Source organism: Homo sapiens, chromosome 12, assembly GCF_000001405.40.
Source record: "Homo sapiens chromosome 12, GRCh38.p14 Primary Assembly".
Taxonomy (NCBI): Eukaryota; Metazoa; Chordata; class Mammalia; order Primates; family Hominidae; genus Homo; species Homo sapiens.
In genome coordinates this window covers 110063462-110081477 of record NC_000012.12, presented here as the reverse complement: position 1 = coordinate 110081477, position 18016 = coordinate 110063462, and the positions used below count along the sequence as shown (strand labels likewise).

The 18016-nt window shown below is 47.0% G+C and overlaps 1 protein-coding gene across 2 annotated transcripts in view, besides 5 other annotated features; it reads left to right on the top strand.

The window, feature by feature from the left end:
• Positions 1223-2053: a transcriptional cis regulatory region, noted in NCBI's record as "candidate enhancer chr12.3588 targeted for multiplex CRISPR interference". NCBI's record gives its function as "positively regulates C12orf76 gene expression in K562 cells {active_cell/tissue: K562}" and the evidence as "EXISTENCE:mutant phenotype evidence [ECO:0000015][PMID:30612741]".
• Positions 1612-1741: an enhancer, noted in NCBI's record as "active region_6997". NCBI's record gives its function as "activates an Ori minimal core promoter by ATAC-STARR-seq in GM12878 lymphoblastoid cells {active_cell/tissue: GM12878}" and the evidence as "EXISTENCE:reporter gene assay evidence [ECO:0000049][PMID:35858748]".
• Positions 1882-1961: an enhancer, noted in NCBI's record as "active region_6996". NCBI's record gives its function as "activates an Ori minimal core promoter by ATAC-STARR-seq in GM12878 lymphoblastoid cells {active_cell/tissue: GM12878}" and the evidence as "EXISTENCE:reporter gene assay evidence [ECO:0000049][PMID:35858748]".
• The window catches only part of C12orf76 (chromosome 12 open reading frame 76), a 32459-nt gene continuing 22285 nt past the window's right edge, over positions 7843-18016 (top strand). Inside the window, exons 1-2 of one of the 2 annotated variants that reach the window (NR_148515.2) lie at positions 7956-8056; positions 15445-15618. The gene's annotated coding sequence lies outside the window, so the exon portion shown is untranslated. Of the gene's footprint in view, positions 8057-15444; positions 15619-18016 lie in introns of both variants that reach the window. The other variant, NR_148514.2, reaches the window with a different exon arrangement.
• Positions 15446-15525: an enhancer, noted in NCBI's record as "active region_6995". NCBI's record gives its function as "activates an Ori minimal core promoter by ATAC-STARR-seq in GM12878 lymphoblastoid cells {active_cell/tissue: GM12878}" and the evidence as "EXISTENCE:reporter gene assay evidence [ECO:0000049][PMID:35858748]".
• Positions 15596-15685: an enhancer, noted in NCBI's record as "active region_6994". NCBI's record gives its function as "activates an Ori minimal core promoter by ATAC-STARR-seq in GM12878 lymphoblastoid cells {active_cell/tissue: GM12878}" and the evidence as "EXISTENCE:reporter gene assay evidence [ECO:0000049][PMID:35858748]".

Genomic DNA, 18016 nt, shown 5'->3' with positions numbered 1-18016 from the left:
ATCTGGAGGAATTTATTTCTCCCTTGATTTAAATGTTTTTATCACACACTAAGTTCCTACTTTTTTTTTTTTTTTTTTTTTTTTTTTTTTGCATACAGAGTCTCACTCTGTTGCCCAGGCTGGAGTGCAGTGGCATGAACATGGCTCACTGCAGCCTTGACCTTCCGGGCTCAAGCGATCCTCCCACCTCAGCCTCCCGAGTGGTTGAGACCACAGGCGTGCACCACCACTGGCTGATTTATTTTTATATCTTGTAGAGACAGGGCCTCCCTCTGTTGCCCAGGATGATCTTGAACTCCTGGGCTCAAGCAATCCTGCTGCTTTGGCTGCCCAAAGTGCTGGGATTACAGGTGTGAGCCACCACACCCGGGTTCCACCTATCTTCGTGTTTAATACTTGACTCCATTCTGTTCCAGTAATTTATCTGTCAGGTCCCTTACTAGAGCGGCTTTAATTTCACAGCTTTACCATCGCTCTTAATATCTCCTTGGCCACCGGCTTACTTGTGAAGTGTTCATCCCGTGGCCTCTGGATACTCACTGTCTCCTGGTCTTCCTCTCCTCCCTAGTGCCTCAGCTTAGTCTCCTTGATGTTGGTGTCCTTTAAGGAGCTGTCTTCAGTCCCCCTCCATGTCACTGTACCCTTTCCCTGGGCAGGACCCTGTCTCCACTCTTGCCCTTTCTGCCCATTTTCCAGGGTGCAGCCAGAGTGCTCTGAGTTGCAAATGAGATCATGCCACACCCTTGTTTATAAACCCACTTATTGCTCTCAGGGAAAATTCCAGACAGACTCCTTAACACCAGCACATAACGGCTGGACGAGGTTCAGGTGAATGTAGTTTGTTGGGAGGTGACCCAGGAAGAGGCATGGGGAAGGGAGGCAGGGAAGGGAAGGCAATCGACACAGGAAGCACTAAAGAGCAGGTCACGACCAGGCATGGTGGCTCACGCCTGTAATTCCAGCACTTTGGGAGGCTGAGGTGGTTGGATCACTTGAGGTCAGGAGTTCGTGACCAGCCTGGCCAACATAGTGAAACCTTGTCTCTACTAAAAATACAAAAATTAGCCGGGCGTGGTGGAGGGCGCCTGTAATCCCCACCTACTCGGGGAGGCTGAGGCAGAAGAATCGTTTGAACCCGAGAGGGGAAGGTTGCAGTGAGCCGATGTGGCGCCGCTGCACTGCAACCGGGGCAACAGAGCGAGACTCCATCTCGGGGGTGGGAGCGGAGGGGGGTGGAATTAAAAAAGGAAGGGCAGGTCATCGCTGTGGGCATCTGGGCTCTGTCCCACTAGGGTCCCCTGGAGACTGCCTAGACCTGCCTCAGTGCTGTCCCACCTGAGGGAATTGGGGTATTTAATCAGCAGTCCCCTAGCCTCTATTCTCTGAGAGCTCTCTCTCTTCTTTCTCTCTCTCTCTCTCTCGCTCCTTCCTTTTCTTCTTCCTCCTTTCTCCCTGTCTTCTCCCTTCATGGACGTCAGCGCTTGACGCCATGTTTGTTTGTGGCCCCGCCCACAGCCATAGCTGATTGGACTAGGGATAAATAACTAGGCCAATCATTCCCCTTGAATTCCGGAACTGGATAGTGGATCTGGGCTTGCACTCGAACTGTGGACACCTAACCTTGAAGGCAGTGTTGGACCACGTGCCCTGGGAGAAACAGAGGAATCCATTGTTTACAGAGACTCACAATGGGCGCACAGAGAGACAAACAGAGGCGGGCCCACGCAGTTTCAAACTGAAAGAGCAACTTCAGCTCAGGACAGTTTAGTTTCTGATTCTATTAATAGGTTCTCATGAGGTTGGGCCACATTTCCTGCACTTGAGCTCTGTGAGATAAGTGTTTCCTCAGAAAAACCTCCCTTTTCTGCTGAAGAATGTCACCTGATTTTCTGTAAATTGTAAACACATACACACACATGACTAAGAAATCCACCATTCAATCCCCAATCCCCATTTCTTCACACGTGGCTTCCTACTTCACAAAGAAACAGAGACCACCATTCTCAACATCCCACTTAGTCTATCAAAATCTTTGAATGGCTCAAATGGTTCCATCTTCTCTACATCCTTGCAACACACACACATTTTCCCATGACTCCATTAAAGACCATTCTTACCTCTCTTTCTTTATTTTTTTAGACGGAGTCTCGCTCTGTCACCCAGGCTGGAGTGCAGTGGCGCGATCTCGGCTCAGTGCAACTTTCACCTCCTAGGTTCAAGTGATTCTTCTATCACCCTTCCGAGTAGCTGGGGTTACAGGCGGGCGCCATCACACCCAGCTAATTTTTGTATTTTTAGTAGAGACAGGTTTTGCCATGTTGGCCAGGCTGTTCTTGAACTCCTGATCTCAGGTGATCCACTCGCCTCGGCCTCCCAAAGTGCTGGGATTACAGGCATGAGCCACAGCACCCGGCCTCTTACCTCTTTTTCCTCCTAGCCAAGACTATAGAAGAAATAGTCCATGCCTGTCTCCACTCTCTCCTCTCATTAGTCCTTACTTGCACTGTTTTGTGGGAAAGCGTTTCATTTTGAAGATGTGACTTGAAGTGTCTGTGGGTTATATAGGTTCATAGATTCATAGACTATGCACAGAATTCAGATATGGTCTGGAGATACAGATTTAGCGTTCAGTGATTTAAAAAGTAATGAACGCAGGCCGGGTGCAGTGGCTTACCTGAGGTCGGGAGTTTGAGACCAGCCTGACCAACATGGAGAAACCCTGTCTCTACTAAAAATACAAAAAATTAGCCGGGCATGGTGGCGCATGCCTGTAATCCCAACTACTCGGGAGTCTGAGGCAGGAGAATCGCTTGAACCCGGGAGGCAGAGGTTGCGGTGAGCCTAGATCGCGCCATGGCACTCCAGCCTGGGCAACAAGAGTGAAACTGTCTCAAAAAAAAAAAAAGTAATGAACGCATATGGTAGAAAAAATTCAGATACAAGCAGGGTGATAAATAAATCGTCAAACACCGACTAATTCCCCCAGCCTCAGCTCGCTTCCCAGAGACCACCTTGTATAGCCTTCCAGATGTGCTAGCTTCATGGGCATGGGACCTGTGCAGTCATATAGGGACCCACACTTAGAAGGAATCTGAATTTGTTTAATGCTTTGCTGTCACCATTTTGAAATGTTTAACTTTTAAATAACGGACTTCACATTTTCATTTTGCACTGGGCCTTGCAAATTATATAGTAGATCCTGTTTCCAGTTATATTCCATGCATAATTAAACATATAATATACATATATACCCCCTCCTCCCACCTGCTTCGCATTTAGCATTTGATTATTCTTAAAACAATGTGTGTGGATGAAATTTCCCAGGGAGAAGATGCAATAGTCATTAGCGCTGTTCACCAAATATTTCTGCTTCTGCAGTTTCTGGATACATGGGGGATATATGCGGGAACTGCATTTCCTGGTTCCCTAGTGGTTGGGTAGGACTAAGTGATTAGTTTTGACCAATGAGTAATGAGTAGAAGTGAGTGCATTTCTAGGTCAGAGCTTTTTTTTTTTTTTTTTTTTTTTGGTAACTTTATATTCTTTCCATCACGAGGTCAGAACATTTAATTGCTACTGTGAGACTCTCCATAGTTCTCATTAAAGAGTTCAAGACAGTGGCTGTTCCGTTAGCCTTGATCTCTGAGTGACTACAGAGAGTAGAGCCTTCTGGGAGATCCATGATGGACATGTAGTGTGGGTGAGAATTAAATCATCACTGTTATAAGCCATGAGACTCTGAGAGAGCTTTCTTATTTGAGCATAACCTGTCCTATCCAGATAGGAACATAAAAAGTGCTGAGAGACAATTTGTTGGAACTGAAATTTACAGGGAGAAGAGAGCCAGAGAAAGTTAAGACAAAGGTCGGACGCAGTGGCTCATGCCTGTAATCCCAGTACTTTGGGAGGCTGAGGCAGGAGGATCACTTGAGGCCAGGAGTTTGAGACCAGCCTGGGTAACATAGCAATACCCTATCTCTACAAAATTAAAAAAAAATGGCCAGGCTTGGTGGCATGTGCCTGTGGTCCCAGCTATTCAGGAGGCTGTGGCAGAAGGATCGCTGGAGCCCAGAAGTTTGAGGCGGCAGTGAACTATGATCATGCCACTGCGCTCCAGCCTGGGTGACAGAGCAAGACCCAGTCTCTAAAATAAATAAATTAAATTATTTTTAAAAAAGAAAGATAAGATAAAGAGTCATAGAGGTACAAATGAGAAACCAGGAGAACATGGGACCCAGGAGAGTCATGGAAACCAAGGGAAAAAACTGCTCCAAGAAGCAGAAAGTGGTCAGTGGTGTTGAATGCATCCAAGAGATAAAGTAAAATAAGGACTAAAATATATCAACAAAGTCTGGCTACTGAGAAGTCTTTGGTAACCTCATTGAGAACAGAATCCATGGAGTGGTGGAGGTGGCAATGGTGAAATAGAGGACAAGGGCTGAAGGAGTAGAGAGGGGAGAGCGTGAGGGATCAGTGCAAGAGCTCAGCAGAAAAACAAATAGGCCAGGCGCAGTGGCTCACACCTGTAATCCCAGCACTTTGGTAGGCCGAGGTGGGCGGATCGTTTGAGGCCAGGAGTTTGAGACCAGCCTGGCCAACATGGTGAAACATTGTCTCTACTAAAAACACAAAAATTATCCGGGCATGCTGGTGTGTGCCTGTAATCTCAGCTGCTTGGGAGGCTGGGGTAGGAGAATCTCTTGAACCCAGGAGGCAGAGATGGCAGTAAGCTGAGATCATGCCACTGCACTCCAGCCTGGGCGACAGAATGAGACTCCGTCACAAACAAACAAGCAAAAGAAAGACAAGAAAATAGATGTCTTAGAGTGGTAGCAAGAGCAACACTGAAGTGATTTGCCTATTCTGGACATTTCCTATAAATAGAGTCATAAAAGAAGTATCCTGGTCAGGCATGGTGGCTCACGCCTGTAATTCCAGCACTTTGGGAGGCCGAGGAGGGCAGATCACGAGGTCAAGAGATTGAGACCATCCTGGCCAACATGGTGAAGCCCCGTTTCTACTAAAAATACAGAAATTAGCTGGGTGTGGAGATGCACGCCTGTAGTCCTAGCTACTCAGGAGGCTGAGGGAGGAGAATCACTTGAACCCGGGAGGTGGAGGTTGCAGTGAGCTGAGATTGCGCCACTACACTCCAGCCTGGCGACAGAGTGAGACTCCATCTCAAAAAAAAAAAAAAAAAAAAAGGTGTCCTTTTGCATTTGGCTTATTTCACTTAGTGTAATGTTTTAAAGGCTCATCCATGTTGAAGCATGGGTCAGTGCTTCATTACTTTTTAAGGATGAATAATATTCCCTTTTATGGACAGACACCCTTTTGTGGATTCATTTGTCAGTGGATGGACATTTGACTTGTCTGCCTGTCCGCTGCTATATCCACTATTCCTGGTGCTCTTGGGAATGAATGAATGAATAAGTGAATGAATAAAATGAACAGAGCTGTCCAAGGTCACAGAGCAGGTAAGATGTGAAACCAGGATTGGAAGTCAGGCCATTAGTTCCCTACAGCCAATGTTCTTTTTTTTTTTTTTTTTTTTTTTTTTAGAGGGAGTTTTGCTGTTGCCCTGGCTGGAGTGCAGTGGCATGATGTCGGCTCACTGCAACCTCTGCCTCCTGGGTTCAAGCAACTCTCTTCCCTCAGCCTCCCAAGTAGCTGGGATTACAGGTGCCTGACACCATCTCTGGCTAATTTTTGTATTTTCAGTAGAGATGGGGTTTCGCCATGTTGGCCAGGCTGGTCTGGAACTCCTGACCTCAAGTGATCTGCTCATCTTGGCCTCCCAATGTGCTGGGATTACAGGTGTGAGCCACCCTGCACCGCCAGGCCGATGTTCTAAGCATCAGGCTCTACCTGTGAATCTTCTCTTTTTACAGATGAAGATGACTGTATCGCTCAGATTCCTGGTGGGAAAGCAATGGTATACTCAAGTGGGGTAACTAATGATGGGACGATTTACAAAGGTGTGGGCAGAGTTAAGAAAAAGCAATAAGGTGGTGGGGGGGGGCGCGGTGGCTCACGCCTGTAATCCCAGCAGTTTGGGAGGCTGAGGCGGACGGATCACAAGGTCAGGAGATCAAGACCATCCTGGCTAACACGGAGAAACCCCGTCTCTACTGAAAATATAAAAACAAAATTAGCTGGGCGTGGTAGTGGACGCCTGTAGTCCCAGCTACTTGGGAGACTGAGGCGGGAGAACGGCATGAACCGGGAGACGGAGCTTGCAGTGAACCGAGATTGTGCCACTGCACTCCAGCCTGGGCGACAGAGCGAGACTCCGTCTCAAAAAAAAGAAAAGAAAAGAAAAGAAAAAGCAATAAGAGATAGTGAGCTGCCTGGGGCTGGCAAGAGTGGGGAACCCTTACCACTCCCAGGACTAAAGGAGGGAGTAGTGCCCAGAAGCCCCGCCTATATGGAACTGAGAAGGGTAGGGCCTGGAGTCACGTCCATCCTCACTGCTCTCCAGTCTCCTGAACTGGAAGCCAGGGGTCGGGGGCGGGGGGTTGGGAGGGGGGGACCCTGATACAGTTAGTGTGGGTGGGAATGTACAAATTAGCTCAGACTGGAAAAGTAAAAATCTACCTGGCCACTTAGCAGACTGGAGTAACAGAAATGGATCAAGTCAGCTGCAAAGATAACAGGAAACAATATTTCTTTGTAGCTGTAAAGTTATAATATTACCCCACCCCTGTCTTTGAGTGACTGCTGAAACATTGTCCTTTAAAATCACAGACCATCAGAAAGTTTGCTGTTTGAAATTATGTGACTAAGATTGAAATATTCCAATTTTGCCTGGAGGATCTAAGTCATCTTGACACGGAGAAGCAGCCTCAATTTACAACTTAGGAGCAGAGATTCAGATAAAGAGTTTCTGGACACATTTGACATTTATCTTAGCTTTGTTGCTTTCAAGAAAACAGGGCCCTGGGTCCCCTTTGCAATCCAGATTTGAGGTTGACTGCTTTGTACAAGCCTGCTTTGCTTTGAGTCTATCAAAACATGACTTCATTTGGATTTTATCTAAACTCCACTTTCCTCGGAATCCTGTAATAAATCGCTGTCTTCCACTGTTTGGTGATGTCCTGAGGCTCATCTGGTGGGTGGCGTCCCTCATGGAATAGATCAATAAACCTAGCTTTGTTGGGCTGCCACTTGGTCCCTGGTGATCTTGGGCTGATTGATCTAGGTCATGGGTTGAACTTCCGGGGCACAGAGCAGGGTGGAGAGTAACTCAGAGGGTCAAGCGAGAAAGATCCTGCAGATAAATAAAACCCCTCCACCCCTAGCATCCCCACTCCTGCAAATCTGATTTTCCCCACCAACTGCAGACCAGAATATCATAAGGGCTGGTAGCTACAGACCAGAATATTATAAGGGCTGGTAGAAGAAGAAGGGGAGACCTTTATTTACCCAGAGCTCCTATATATCAGGGGCTGAATAAAGGGTTGTAGAAATGAATGAATCAATCTCTGAGTGGGGCTTGAGGCAATGGAAAGATCTCAGCCCTTTTCTGAGGTACAATCGAAGCTCTGGGTCTTGTGACATTTGCAGGGCTGCCCCCTTTTCCCAACAGAAATGAGTCCAAAAAAGCGAAAGGAAAGGGGGAAAAAAGGAGAATTCTAAAAATGCCCATCCTCTGAATACCATCTTTGTGTAGGCATCTGGGGGAGGCCAGCTGGGGCGAGGTCATCTGCCAACCAGGCCCTTAGGACTTGGCCCTTCTTGTTTATCGAAGTCACATCTGGGGCAACTGCCAGGGCCCGCCCCCACTCCACAGTCATTGGAAGAGCTCAAAGTTAAAGGCTCCCGCTAAAAATCAGTATGTTTCATTTTGCAGTTACTGGGAGGGGGCTTGCTGTGGCCCCATCTGGGAGAGTTGAGCCCTGGTCCAGCCCCGCGCAGGAAGGGAGGCTGTAACCGTGCCAGCCTGCTGCAGCTGCAGTGATGTTTTCCTGTATGAGACAAACAAAGTCGCCCGGATCCAAAGCATCAATTATGGCACCATTAAGTTCTTCCACGTGATCGTCTTTTCCTATGTTAGGTAAGTGGGATGCAGGGAGGACCCCAGATCTCTGCAGTGGTTGACAGCACAGAAAGCCCCAGGGGGCAGCTTCAGGTGCACATTCTGAATCTCACATGGTTTTCAAATTTGGACGTGCTTTCACAGCAAACCGGGCGGGAGGGAGGAAGCAGCATCAGGCAAGAGGAAATGGTGCCAGGCTGCAGCAGAGAGAAGCCATGGAAGGCGAGCGGGATTCATTTCTGATCTACTCCAGGCCCGCCAGGGAGAGCAGGGCAGGGTGTGCCTGGGGAAGGTGGGAAAGCGCAGGGCAACATCCTGGATTCCCAGGGAGGAGGCAAGGATCTCAGGGCACTCCTGGTGATCAGGCTGGCATTTGAGTCACCGTGCTTGGGAAGAATAGGACCAGGTTTATAAATGTATTTTAACTTCAGGTCACCAACACCTGCCTTTTGTTTTTTTCTTTTTCTTTTCTTTTTTCTTTTTTTTTTTTTGAGATGAAGTCTCGCTCTTGTACCCCAGGCTGGAGTGTGACAGTGTGATCTTGGCTCACTGCAACCTCCGCCTCCTGGGTTCAGGAGATTCGCCTGCCTCCACCTGCCCACACGCTATCCTCCCCCGCCACCAAGTAAGCTGGGATTACAGGTGCCTGCCACCAAGCCCAGCTAATTTTTGTATTTTTAGTAGAAACGGGGTTTCGCCATGTTGGCCAGGCTGGTCTAGAACTCCTGACCTCATGTGATCCACCTGCCTCAGCCTTCCAAAGTGCTGGGATTATAGGCGTGAGCCACCGTGTCTGGCTGGTTTTTGTTTTTTCTAAAAGAAACAGTACACCATGCAATTCACCATTTAAGGGTACAATTTAATGGTTTTCAGATTATTCACAGAGTTGTGCAAGCATCCCCACAATCAATTTGAGAATATTTTCATCAACTCAAAAAAAAAACAAAAAAAACCCACACTCCTTTGCCATCATTTCCAACACCATTCCCCCTCCTTCCCACCCATGAATCTGCTTTCTGCCTCTATGGATTTACCTATTCTGGACATTTCATGTAAATGGACTCACACAATATGTGGTCCTTTGTGGCTGGCTTTTTTTCACTTAGCATGTTTTCGGTGCTCATCCATGTTGTAGCTGTTGTAACATGTTGATACTTCATTACTTTTTTTTTTTTTTTAGATTTGGGGTCTCACTATGTTGCCCAGGTTGGTCTCAAACTCCAGCACTCATGCAATCCTCCCACCTCAGCCTCCTGAAGTATTAGGATTACAGGCGTGAGCCACCATACCTGGCTGACACTTCATTCCTTTTTATGGCTGAGTAATATTCCATTGCATGGATGGAACACTTTTATGTATCCATTCATCCATTGATGGACATTTTGGTTGTTTCTCTTTTTTGGCTATCATGAATAATGCTTCCATAAACATTGCGAACAAGGTTTTATGTGGATATATATTCTCATTTCCCTTGAATATGTACCTAAGAGTGGAATTGCTGGGTCATATGTTAACTATGTTTCACCCTTGGAGGAACTGTGGAGCTGAATTTCACAGCAGCTGCACCCTTTTACATTCCCACCAGCAGAGTATGAGGGGTCCAGTTTCTCCACATCCTCACCAACTCTTGTTATTGTCTGTCTTTTTAATTATAGCCATGCTTGTGGGTGTGCAGTGGTAGTTCATTGTGGTTCTGATTTGCATTTCCCTGGGAGTGACTGCCTCTTATTCTCTGTGATGATGATGATGATGTTGATGATGATGATGATGATGACAACCTATACTTATAGAGGGTGGCAGTGTAGTTTACTAAGAGTCAAGGCAACTTATTTTATAATACTGGCTGTGTCTTCTTGGCCAAGTCATTAACTTCTCTGAGCCTCTGTTTCTGCATCTGTTCATAGGGTTGTGACAATTAAACAAAAAAAAAGGCATGAGGAGCCCTTATCATGATGATTGACATAGAATAAGAGCTCCATAACTGGAATCCATTTTTTAAAATAATCTTTTTGAATGTATTATATATATATATTTGTATACAAAATACATGTATGTATTTTTATATACATCCTCTCCTTTGACCCTCAGAGTAACCATGTCCAAGTTTGGAATTTGAGATCTGGAAATGTGGATTCTAAAATCCTTCACCTCTTTGAGCCTTGGTTTCCTCATCTGTAAAATGGGGAGAATTGTTAGGAATATTAAATGAACTAATAAATGCAAAGTTGTTCAAGAAATATATGGCACATAGCAAGCCCTTATTAAGTGTTAGTTTTTATTTTTAATAATGCTATCATTAGGATTATCATTATTTGATTCCTATTTTTACTACTCAACAAATATTGAATGATAAACATATACACTGGGCCGGGCATGGTGGCTCATGCCTGTAATCCCAGCACTTTGGGAGGCCAAGGCAGGCAAATCACCTAAGGTCAGGAGTTTGAGACCAGCCTGGCCAACATGGTGGAACTCCGTCTTTACTAAAAATACAAAAGCTAGTTGGGCGGGGTAGTGTGTGTCTATAATTCCAGCTACTCGGTAAGCTGAGGCACAAGAATTGCTTGAATCTGGGAGGTGGAGGTTGCAGTGAGCTGAGATCATGCCACTTCATTCCAGCCTGAATGACAGAGCAAGACTCCATCTCAAAAACAAAAACAAAAACAAAACAAAACATGCTGAAATCGAAAACAAGACATATTACTTAGAGCAGCTATCATAGGACCAATGGAAAAGAGCATAATTAGTAAATGCCCCCTTCTGCATTAATACAGGGATTACATGTCATAATTCCATGTAGCAGGTGATGGGACTTCCTGACATTCCTGGGCCCAGCATACAATTTCTTTCTTTCTTACTTTTTTCTCTAAAAAGTGAGAGAGGGTCACACTATGTCACTAGGCTGGAGTGCAGTGGCGTGATCACAGCTCACTGCAGCCTCAACTTCTCAGGCTCATGTGATCCTCCTGCCTCATCCTCCCAAGTAGCTGGGACCATAGGCACATGCCATGACGCCTGGCTAATTTTTTATTGTTTTTGTAGAGACAGGGCTTTCCTTATGTTGCCCAGGCTGGTCTCAAACTCCTGGCCTCAGGCAATCCTCCTATCTTGGCCTCCCAAAGTGCTGGGATTATAGGTGTGAACCACCGTTCCTGACCTACAATTTCTTTTCTTTTCTTTTTCTTTTTCTTTTTTTTTTTTTGAAATGGGGTCTTACTCTGTCACCTAGGCTGGAGTGCAATGGCATGATCTTGGCTCACTGCAAGCTCTGCTTCCCAGGTTCAAGCAGTCTTCCCACCTCAACCTCCTGAGTAGCTGGAACCACCACGCCCAGCTAATTTTTTTGTATTTTTGGTAGAGACAGGGTTTCACCGTGTTGTCCAGGCTGGTCTTGAACTCCTGAGCTCAAGCAGTCCATCCATCTTGGCCTCCCAAAGTGCTGGGATTACAGTGTGAGCCACCATGCCCAGCCCACAATTTTTTAAAAGCAGATCATTGTATATATAAAAACATTACTATGAGAACACCTTATAATGATGAATATTTTTCTTTCACATGATGAAATCATAACTTACATGTATTTAACTCCCTCAAATTCAGTTATACATGTTCCATGGGGACATGGAGAGAGAGAATAATATAACTAGTACAATTATTCAGCAACTGGGTTCCCTGGAGTAAGTGTGAAATGGGATACTTGCATCTGGGGGTTCCCTCCATCATTCTCTGTTCTCATGTGCTTCTCACAGAGTGAGCATCTTGCTGCTCTGCCTTTAAATCTAGGTACATAATTTTCAGCCACATGACCCCTAAAATAAGCCAATTCCTTCACCTTCACCTGGAGCAAAACTGTAATAACAGCAACTTGTTCCGGAGCTAGAAATTGGCTCCAGTGGACCCACTGGGAAGAAGGAGTTGTTTGCTGTGCTATGTGGACAATTTAAGGGTTTAAAAGGCAATTTTGATAAGCCATGGGTTTTTTTGTTTGTTTGTTTGTTTTGAGACGGAGTCTCGCTGTGTCACCCAGGCTGGAGTGCGATGGTGTGATCTCGGCTCATTGCAAGCTCCGCCTCCCGGGTTCCGGCCATTCTCCTGTCTCAGCCTCCCGGGTAGCTGGGACTACAGGCGCCCGCCACCATGTCCCGCTAATTTTTTGTATTTTTAGTAGAGACAGGGTTTCACCATGATAGCCAGGATGGTCACGATCTCCTGACCTCGTGATCCGCCCGCCTTGGCCTCCCAAAATGCTGGGATTACAGGCGTGAGGCACCGTGCCTGGCGATGAGCCATGATTTTTATCTGAAGTGCCGTCTTTAGAAGATAACCTCCATGTAAAACGTTTCTCCACAGTTTATATTTTAAAATATAAAATTGAAGAAAAAACTATTGCCAGTTTGCTTTTTTCCTCTTTGTTAATGGACTATCTACTATCATCTCACCAAATGGAGTCTCACAGTACACAGCTTGGGAAATGCTGCCTTAAGTTGCAGTGTGAAGCCTTAAGTTTATGTAACCATGACTTAGCCATCTGTGTAGCGGGTATACCAATGGGGTGTAGGGATTGGCGGAAGTAGTTTGCACCAAGTAGTACTGGTGTGGACCATAGGTGGCAATCCAGACAGGCTAGAGCAATGTTCAGGTTACAGTAGCAAGTGGCAGGTTTTGGCCAGCTGTCCCTACTGGGGCTGGAAGGATAAAGAGCCAGAATAAGGAGACAGGGCCTCAGTTACTGAAACTGGGATAGAAACTGGGGACTGGTTATGGGGGAAATTAAACAAGAACCTGTCCAGCTTCTTCTATTCTCACAACTAAGTTCAGATCTGGAGTCAGAGGCAGGGATGCAGCTACAAGAGGAGTTAGCGTTGCAGGTTTATGTAGATAGGATGCTAAGCAGGTCTATGTTAGCCAGGATTGTTTGCGCAGTAAGTGACAGAAACCCAGCTTACGTTAACCACAAAGCCTCAAAGGGGAATTTATTGAATCATGTAACTGGGCAGTTGAAGAGATTGTGCTGTCCTTGGACATGGATGAAGATAAGGGTTCACACTATGTCATCAGGTAGGTTCTCTCTCCCTACGTCTTGGTTCCATTTGCTTCTATTTGGCCGCCTTCTTCTTCTTCTTCTTCTTCTTCTTCTTCTTCTTCTTCTTCTTCTTCTTCTTCTTCTTCTTCTTCTTCTTCTTCTTCTTCTTTCTTCTTCTTCTTCTCTTCTCCTTCTCCTTCTTCTTCTTTTTTGAGACGGAGTTTCCCTCTTGTTGCCTAGGCTGGAGTGCAATGGCGCGATCTTGGCTCGCCACAACCTCTGCCTCCCGGGTTCAAACGATTCTCCTGCCTCAGCCTCCTGAGTAGCTGGCATGCCCCACTACGCCCAGCTAATTTTTTGTATTTTTAGTAGAGACAGGGTTTAACCATGTTGGTCAGGCTGGTCTCAAACTCCCGACCTCAGGTGATCCGCCTGCCTCAGCCTCCCAAAGTGCTGGGATTACAGGCGTGAGCCACCGCACCCGGCCTTTGGCTTCCTTCTTGAACAGCTCTCTATGTAGCATGAAATCCTTACATTCTCTTCTTAGCAACCTCAGAGGAGCCAACAAGTCTTTCCTGATGCTCTGTTAGGAAAGTCCCGGGAAAGACTCTGATTGGTTGGGTGTGAATTACATATCCATCCCTGAACCAATCACCGCCTGGGCCAAGGTGTCATCCCATTGGCCAGTCTGGGTCATGTGCTGGTTCCTGTGGCAGGAAATAGGGAGAAGATGACTGAGCCGGCCGGGTGCAGTGGCTCACCCCTGTAATCCCAATACTTTGAGAGGCCGAGGTGGGTGGATCACCTGAGGTCTGGAGTTCGAGAAGATGACGGAGCAGTGTGAGCCCTACTGAACCACATCCAGTGGATTTTCCTTAGGAAGGAAGATCCTGTTACCAGACAAAATGGGAAAAGGAAGTGAGGAGGGTAGGCAGACAAAATACAGTGATCTGTTACAAGGTCTTCCCAAAAGCCAGAAATTCCAGGGATTTCTGAAGTCTACTTCTCTAGTCCTGGCTTGTCTGGGCTGTGGAGACTCTATCTAGGTAATTGTTGAGCTCCTATTCTTACCTTGGTTCCTTCCTCAGTCCCACCAGAAGACCTGCTCATTTGGGATGTGCGACTTGGCCCACAGAGGCTGCCAGCTCACCTTGGTACTTAACTACTATTTGTTTTCTGTGACCACCAAGCTATTGCTTAAACCAAGCCGCTTACGATGGCACCACCTAGGAGAATTCTTTAGATTTTATTCCGAGTGAGTTGAGAAGCCATGGGAAGATTGTAAGCAAAGGAATAAAAGATGGTTGCATTCTCTTGGGAAGATTTCCCTCTTCCCTGGAGAACAGTCCTCACAGAAGCTTTTCCAATGGCCACAGACTAGGGAAGGTTGAGAGAGGGACAGGAGAACAAACTCCACTCACAGGTGCTGCTTCTCCTCTGCCCAGTTAGCCTCCACTGGGGCCAATAGTGAGCCTGTGTTCTCATTCGTGGTCCCAGGCTGGCCGTCGCCATGGAGATGGTGTTGCTGTACCAGTTCGTGGCTATTAAAATGGAGCTCCTGGCTGGACACCTATTTCCCAGTGGGTGGCCACACACCTGTGGGTCTGGGCCTCCTCCAGCTGAATAGAAGTGAGCCCAGCACGGAGGTCGGGGAGGCACCAGACACCAGGAGGAGCAAATCCAACTCAAGCGTGGCCCCTCTGCTCCCGATTTTTTTTTTCTTTTTTTGAGACAGAGTTTTGCTCTTGTTGCCCAGGCTGAAGTGAAATGGCGCGATCTTGGCTCACGGCAACCTCCGCCTCCCGGGTTCAAGCGATTCTCTTGCTTCAGCCTCCCGAGTTAGCTGGGATTACAGGCATGCGCCACCACGCCCTACTAATTTTGTATTTTTAGTAGAGATGGGGTTTCTCCATGTTGGTCAGGCTGGTCTCAAACTCCCGACCTCAGGTGATCTGCTGGCCTCGGCCTCCCAAAGTGCTGGGATTACAGGCGTGAGCCACCGCGCCCAGCCGTTTTTTTTTTTTTTTTTTTTTTTTTTTTTTTTTTTTTAGATGGAGTCTTGCTTTGTCACCTAGGCTGGAGTGCAGTGACATGATCTTGGCTCACTGCAACCCCTGCCCCCTGGATTCACGTGATTCTGCCTCAGCCTCCCGAGTAGATGGGACTACAGGCGTGTGCCACCACACCAGGCTAATTTTTGTAATTTTAGTAGAGATAGGGCTTCGCCATGTTGGCCAGGCTGGTCTTGAACTCCTGGCCTCAAGTGATCCGCCTGCCTCGGCCTCCCAAATTGTGAGCTACCGCGCCCGGCCTGCCCCTGACCATCTTCGGGGAAATAGAAACATGAGGTCTGCCACATTCTCATCCCACCCTTGACACCTAGGTGATGTGAGAGCTTGAGGGGGAGGTCAGAAGGTCAGAGATGACCCAGTTCTGGAGGTGACCCCATAGAAGGAGAAGAATCCAGCCACGTGATACACGGGACCAAGAGAACAGTAAATGCAAAGATCTGGAAGCACAAAAGAGGAACAGCAAGGACAGCATGTTCCAGAACCTGGTAAGAGAGGAGGGTAGAGCCAGACCAGGGGGCAGGACAGGGGAAGAGTTGGAATTTGATTTTCAGTGCCATGGGAAGCCACTGAAAAGTATTATGCAGAGAAGTGAAACCATCTGACTCATGTTTCTAGAAGCTCTCATGGGCCACTGTGCAGAGCATAGAGTGTGGTGGGACCAGAATGACGGTGAGGGACCAGTGAGAAGGTTGCTGGAGTCACCAGATGCAAGGGATGGAGACTTGGGCTGGAATGGGATGGTGGAGCCAGAGAGATGTGGACAAAGCTGGGATGTGTTTTGGAGGCAGAACTGATGGATTTGCTAGGAGGTGAAGGATGGCTCCGGATTCCTGAGGGATTGATGATGCCTTTTACCAACTTGAGGAGAGATCAAGGAGTGGGCACGGTGGCTCACTCCAGTAATCCCGCACTTTGAGAGGCCAAGGCGGGCAGATCACCTGAGGTCAAGAGTTCGAGACCAGCCTGGCCAATGTCGCAAAACCCCGTCTCTACTAAAAATACAAAAATTAGCTGGGCGTGGTGGCAGGTGCCTGTAATCCCAGCTACTCGGGAGGCTGAGGCACAAAAATTGCTTGAATCCAGGAGGCGGAGGTTGCAGCGAGCCGAGATTGCACCACTGCACTCCAGCCTGGGTGATACAGCGAGACTCAGTCTCAAAAAAAAAAAATGTGTATATATATATATGCACATATACACACACACACATATATGTATACATATATAATAAAAATAATAATAAATAAATAAAGGATCTCAGGCAAGCAATTAAACACCGCCTACTACCATCTATCTTCATCCCTTTGTTCATGTCTAACACCAAAACACCCAAATAGCTGAAAGCACATTATCTCAAAAGATAAGCATGGTTTTTTCAAATGAATGGCTATAGCCTTATGAAAAGCTGCCTTGGTATCTGGTTTTCTTGTTTTGAGGGGCAAGGATGGAGGCTTCTCTCCTGCACCCACAGGCCACTGGGGATACCGCCCCAGCCCAGCCTCCCACCCTGCACTGGAGCCTCTCAGCCCTCCTGCTTGGGTAGCACAGTGTTGAGAAGAGGAAGGAGCAATTTGTCTGGCTTCTTCACAGGCCTGCAACTGGCGTGTACAGTGGCCGAGAAGGCGAGGCCAAGGTGGGGCTGGGGAAGCTAGCAGGGGTGAGATCGTGGAGCACCTTGAGCTGCATCTGGGGGGCACTGAGAAAGCATGGAGAGCTGTCCCCCCAAACCCCAGCATCTTAGTAGAAAATATTCAAACATACAGAAAACATGAAAGGTTTTACGCTATTTTCATTTTAAAGACATTATTTTGCTTGAAACATAACAGCTACTGAGTGCTGCTGAGGTCTTAGCATGTGCTGGGTTCCATTCTTAGCATGTGACATGTATTGGCCTATTTGATCCTCCTACATAATCCTATAATATTGGTTGTCGGAGTGGTTGATCATGACCTGAACGGCCACATGTTTGGGGAACTCTCTGTATTATGAGTTCCACTCCCTAATACATGTCACAACTGAATGTCCCAGGTTCCCTTGCAGCTAGGACACAGTATGAGACCCAAGCTTTCCAAAAATATGCCCCAGGCAACACTTCCATATACAAGGAATCACATGGGATGCTGGGTATGAGCAGAATTCAAATTCAGGAATAGAGGGAAGTATTGCCCTTTGACCCATACAATAGGGGATCCCTTTCCCTGGACCCCATGCCTTAAAGGGCCCCACTCTGTTCCTCTGCAGACTGCTAGCTCCCCTATGGAATGAGGATTGTCTGAGGCTGTATGAGTTTCTATTTGTTACACAGCGGTGGAAACTAACACAGTCCCACAGGCCTAAATCAAGGCATCAGCGGGCTGAGTTCTTGTCTGGAGACTCTGGGGAAAAGTCACTTCCAAGCTCATTGGTTTGTTTGTTTGTTTGTTCGTTTGTTTGTTTGTTTTGAGACAGAGTCTTGCTATGTTGCCCAGGCTGGACTGCAGTGGCGTGATCTTGGCTCACAGCAACCTCTGCCTCCTGGGTTCAGGCAATTCTCCTGTCTCAGCCTCCCAAGTAGCTGGAATTATAGGCACCCGTCATCATGCCTGGCTAATACTTGGGAGCCTGAGGCTGGAGAATCGCTTGAACCTGGGAGGCGGGCATTGCAGTGAGCTGAGATCACACCATTGCACTCCAGCCTGGGCAACAAGAGCAAAACTCGGTCTCAATAAATAAATAAATAAATAAATAAATAAATAAATAAATAAAAATAAAAATCCCTCACCAGGCGTGGTGGCTTATACCTGTAATCCCAGCACTTCGGGAGGCCAAGGCAGGTGGATCACTTGAGGTCCAGAGTTTGAGACCAGCCTGACCAACATGGTGAAACCCCATCTCTACTAAAAAAAA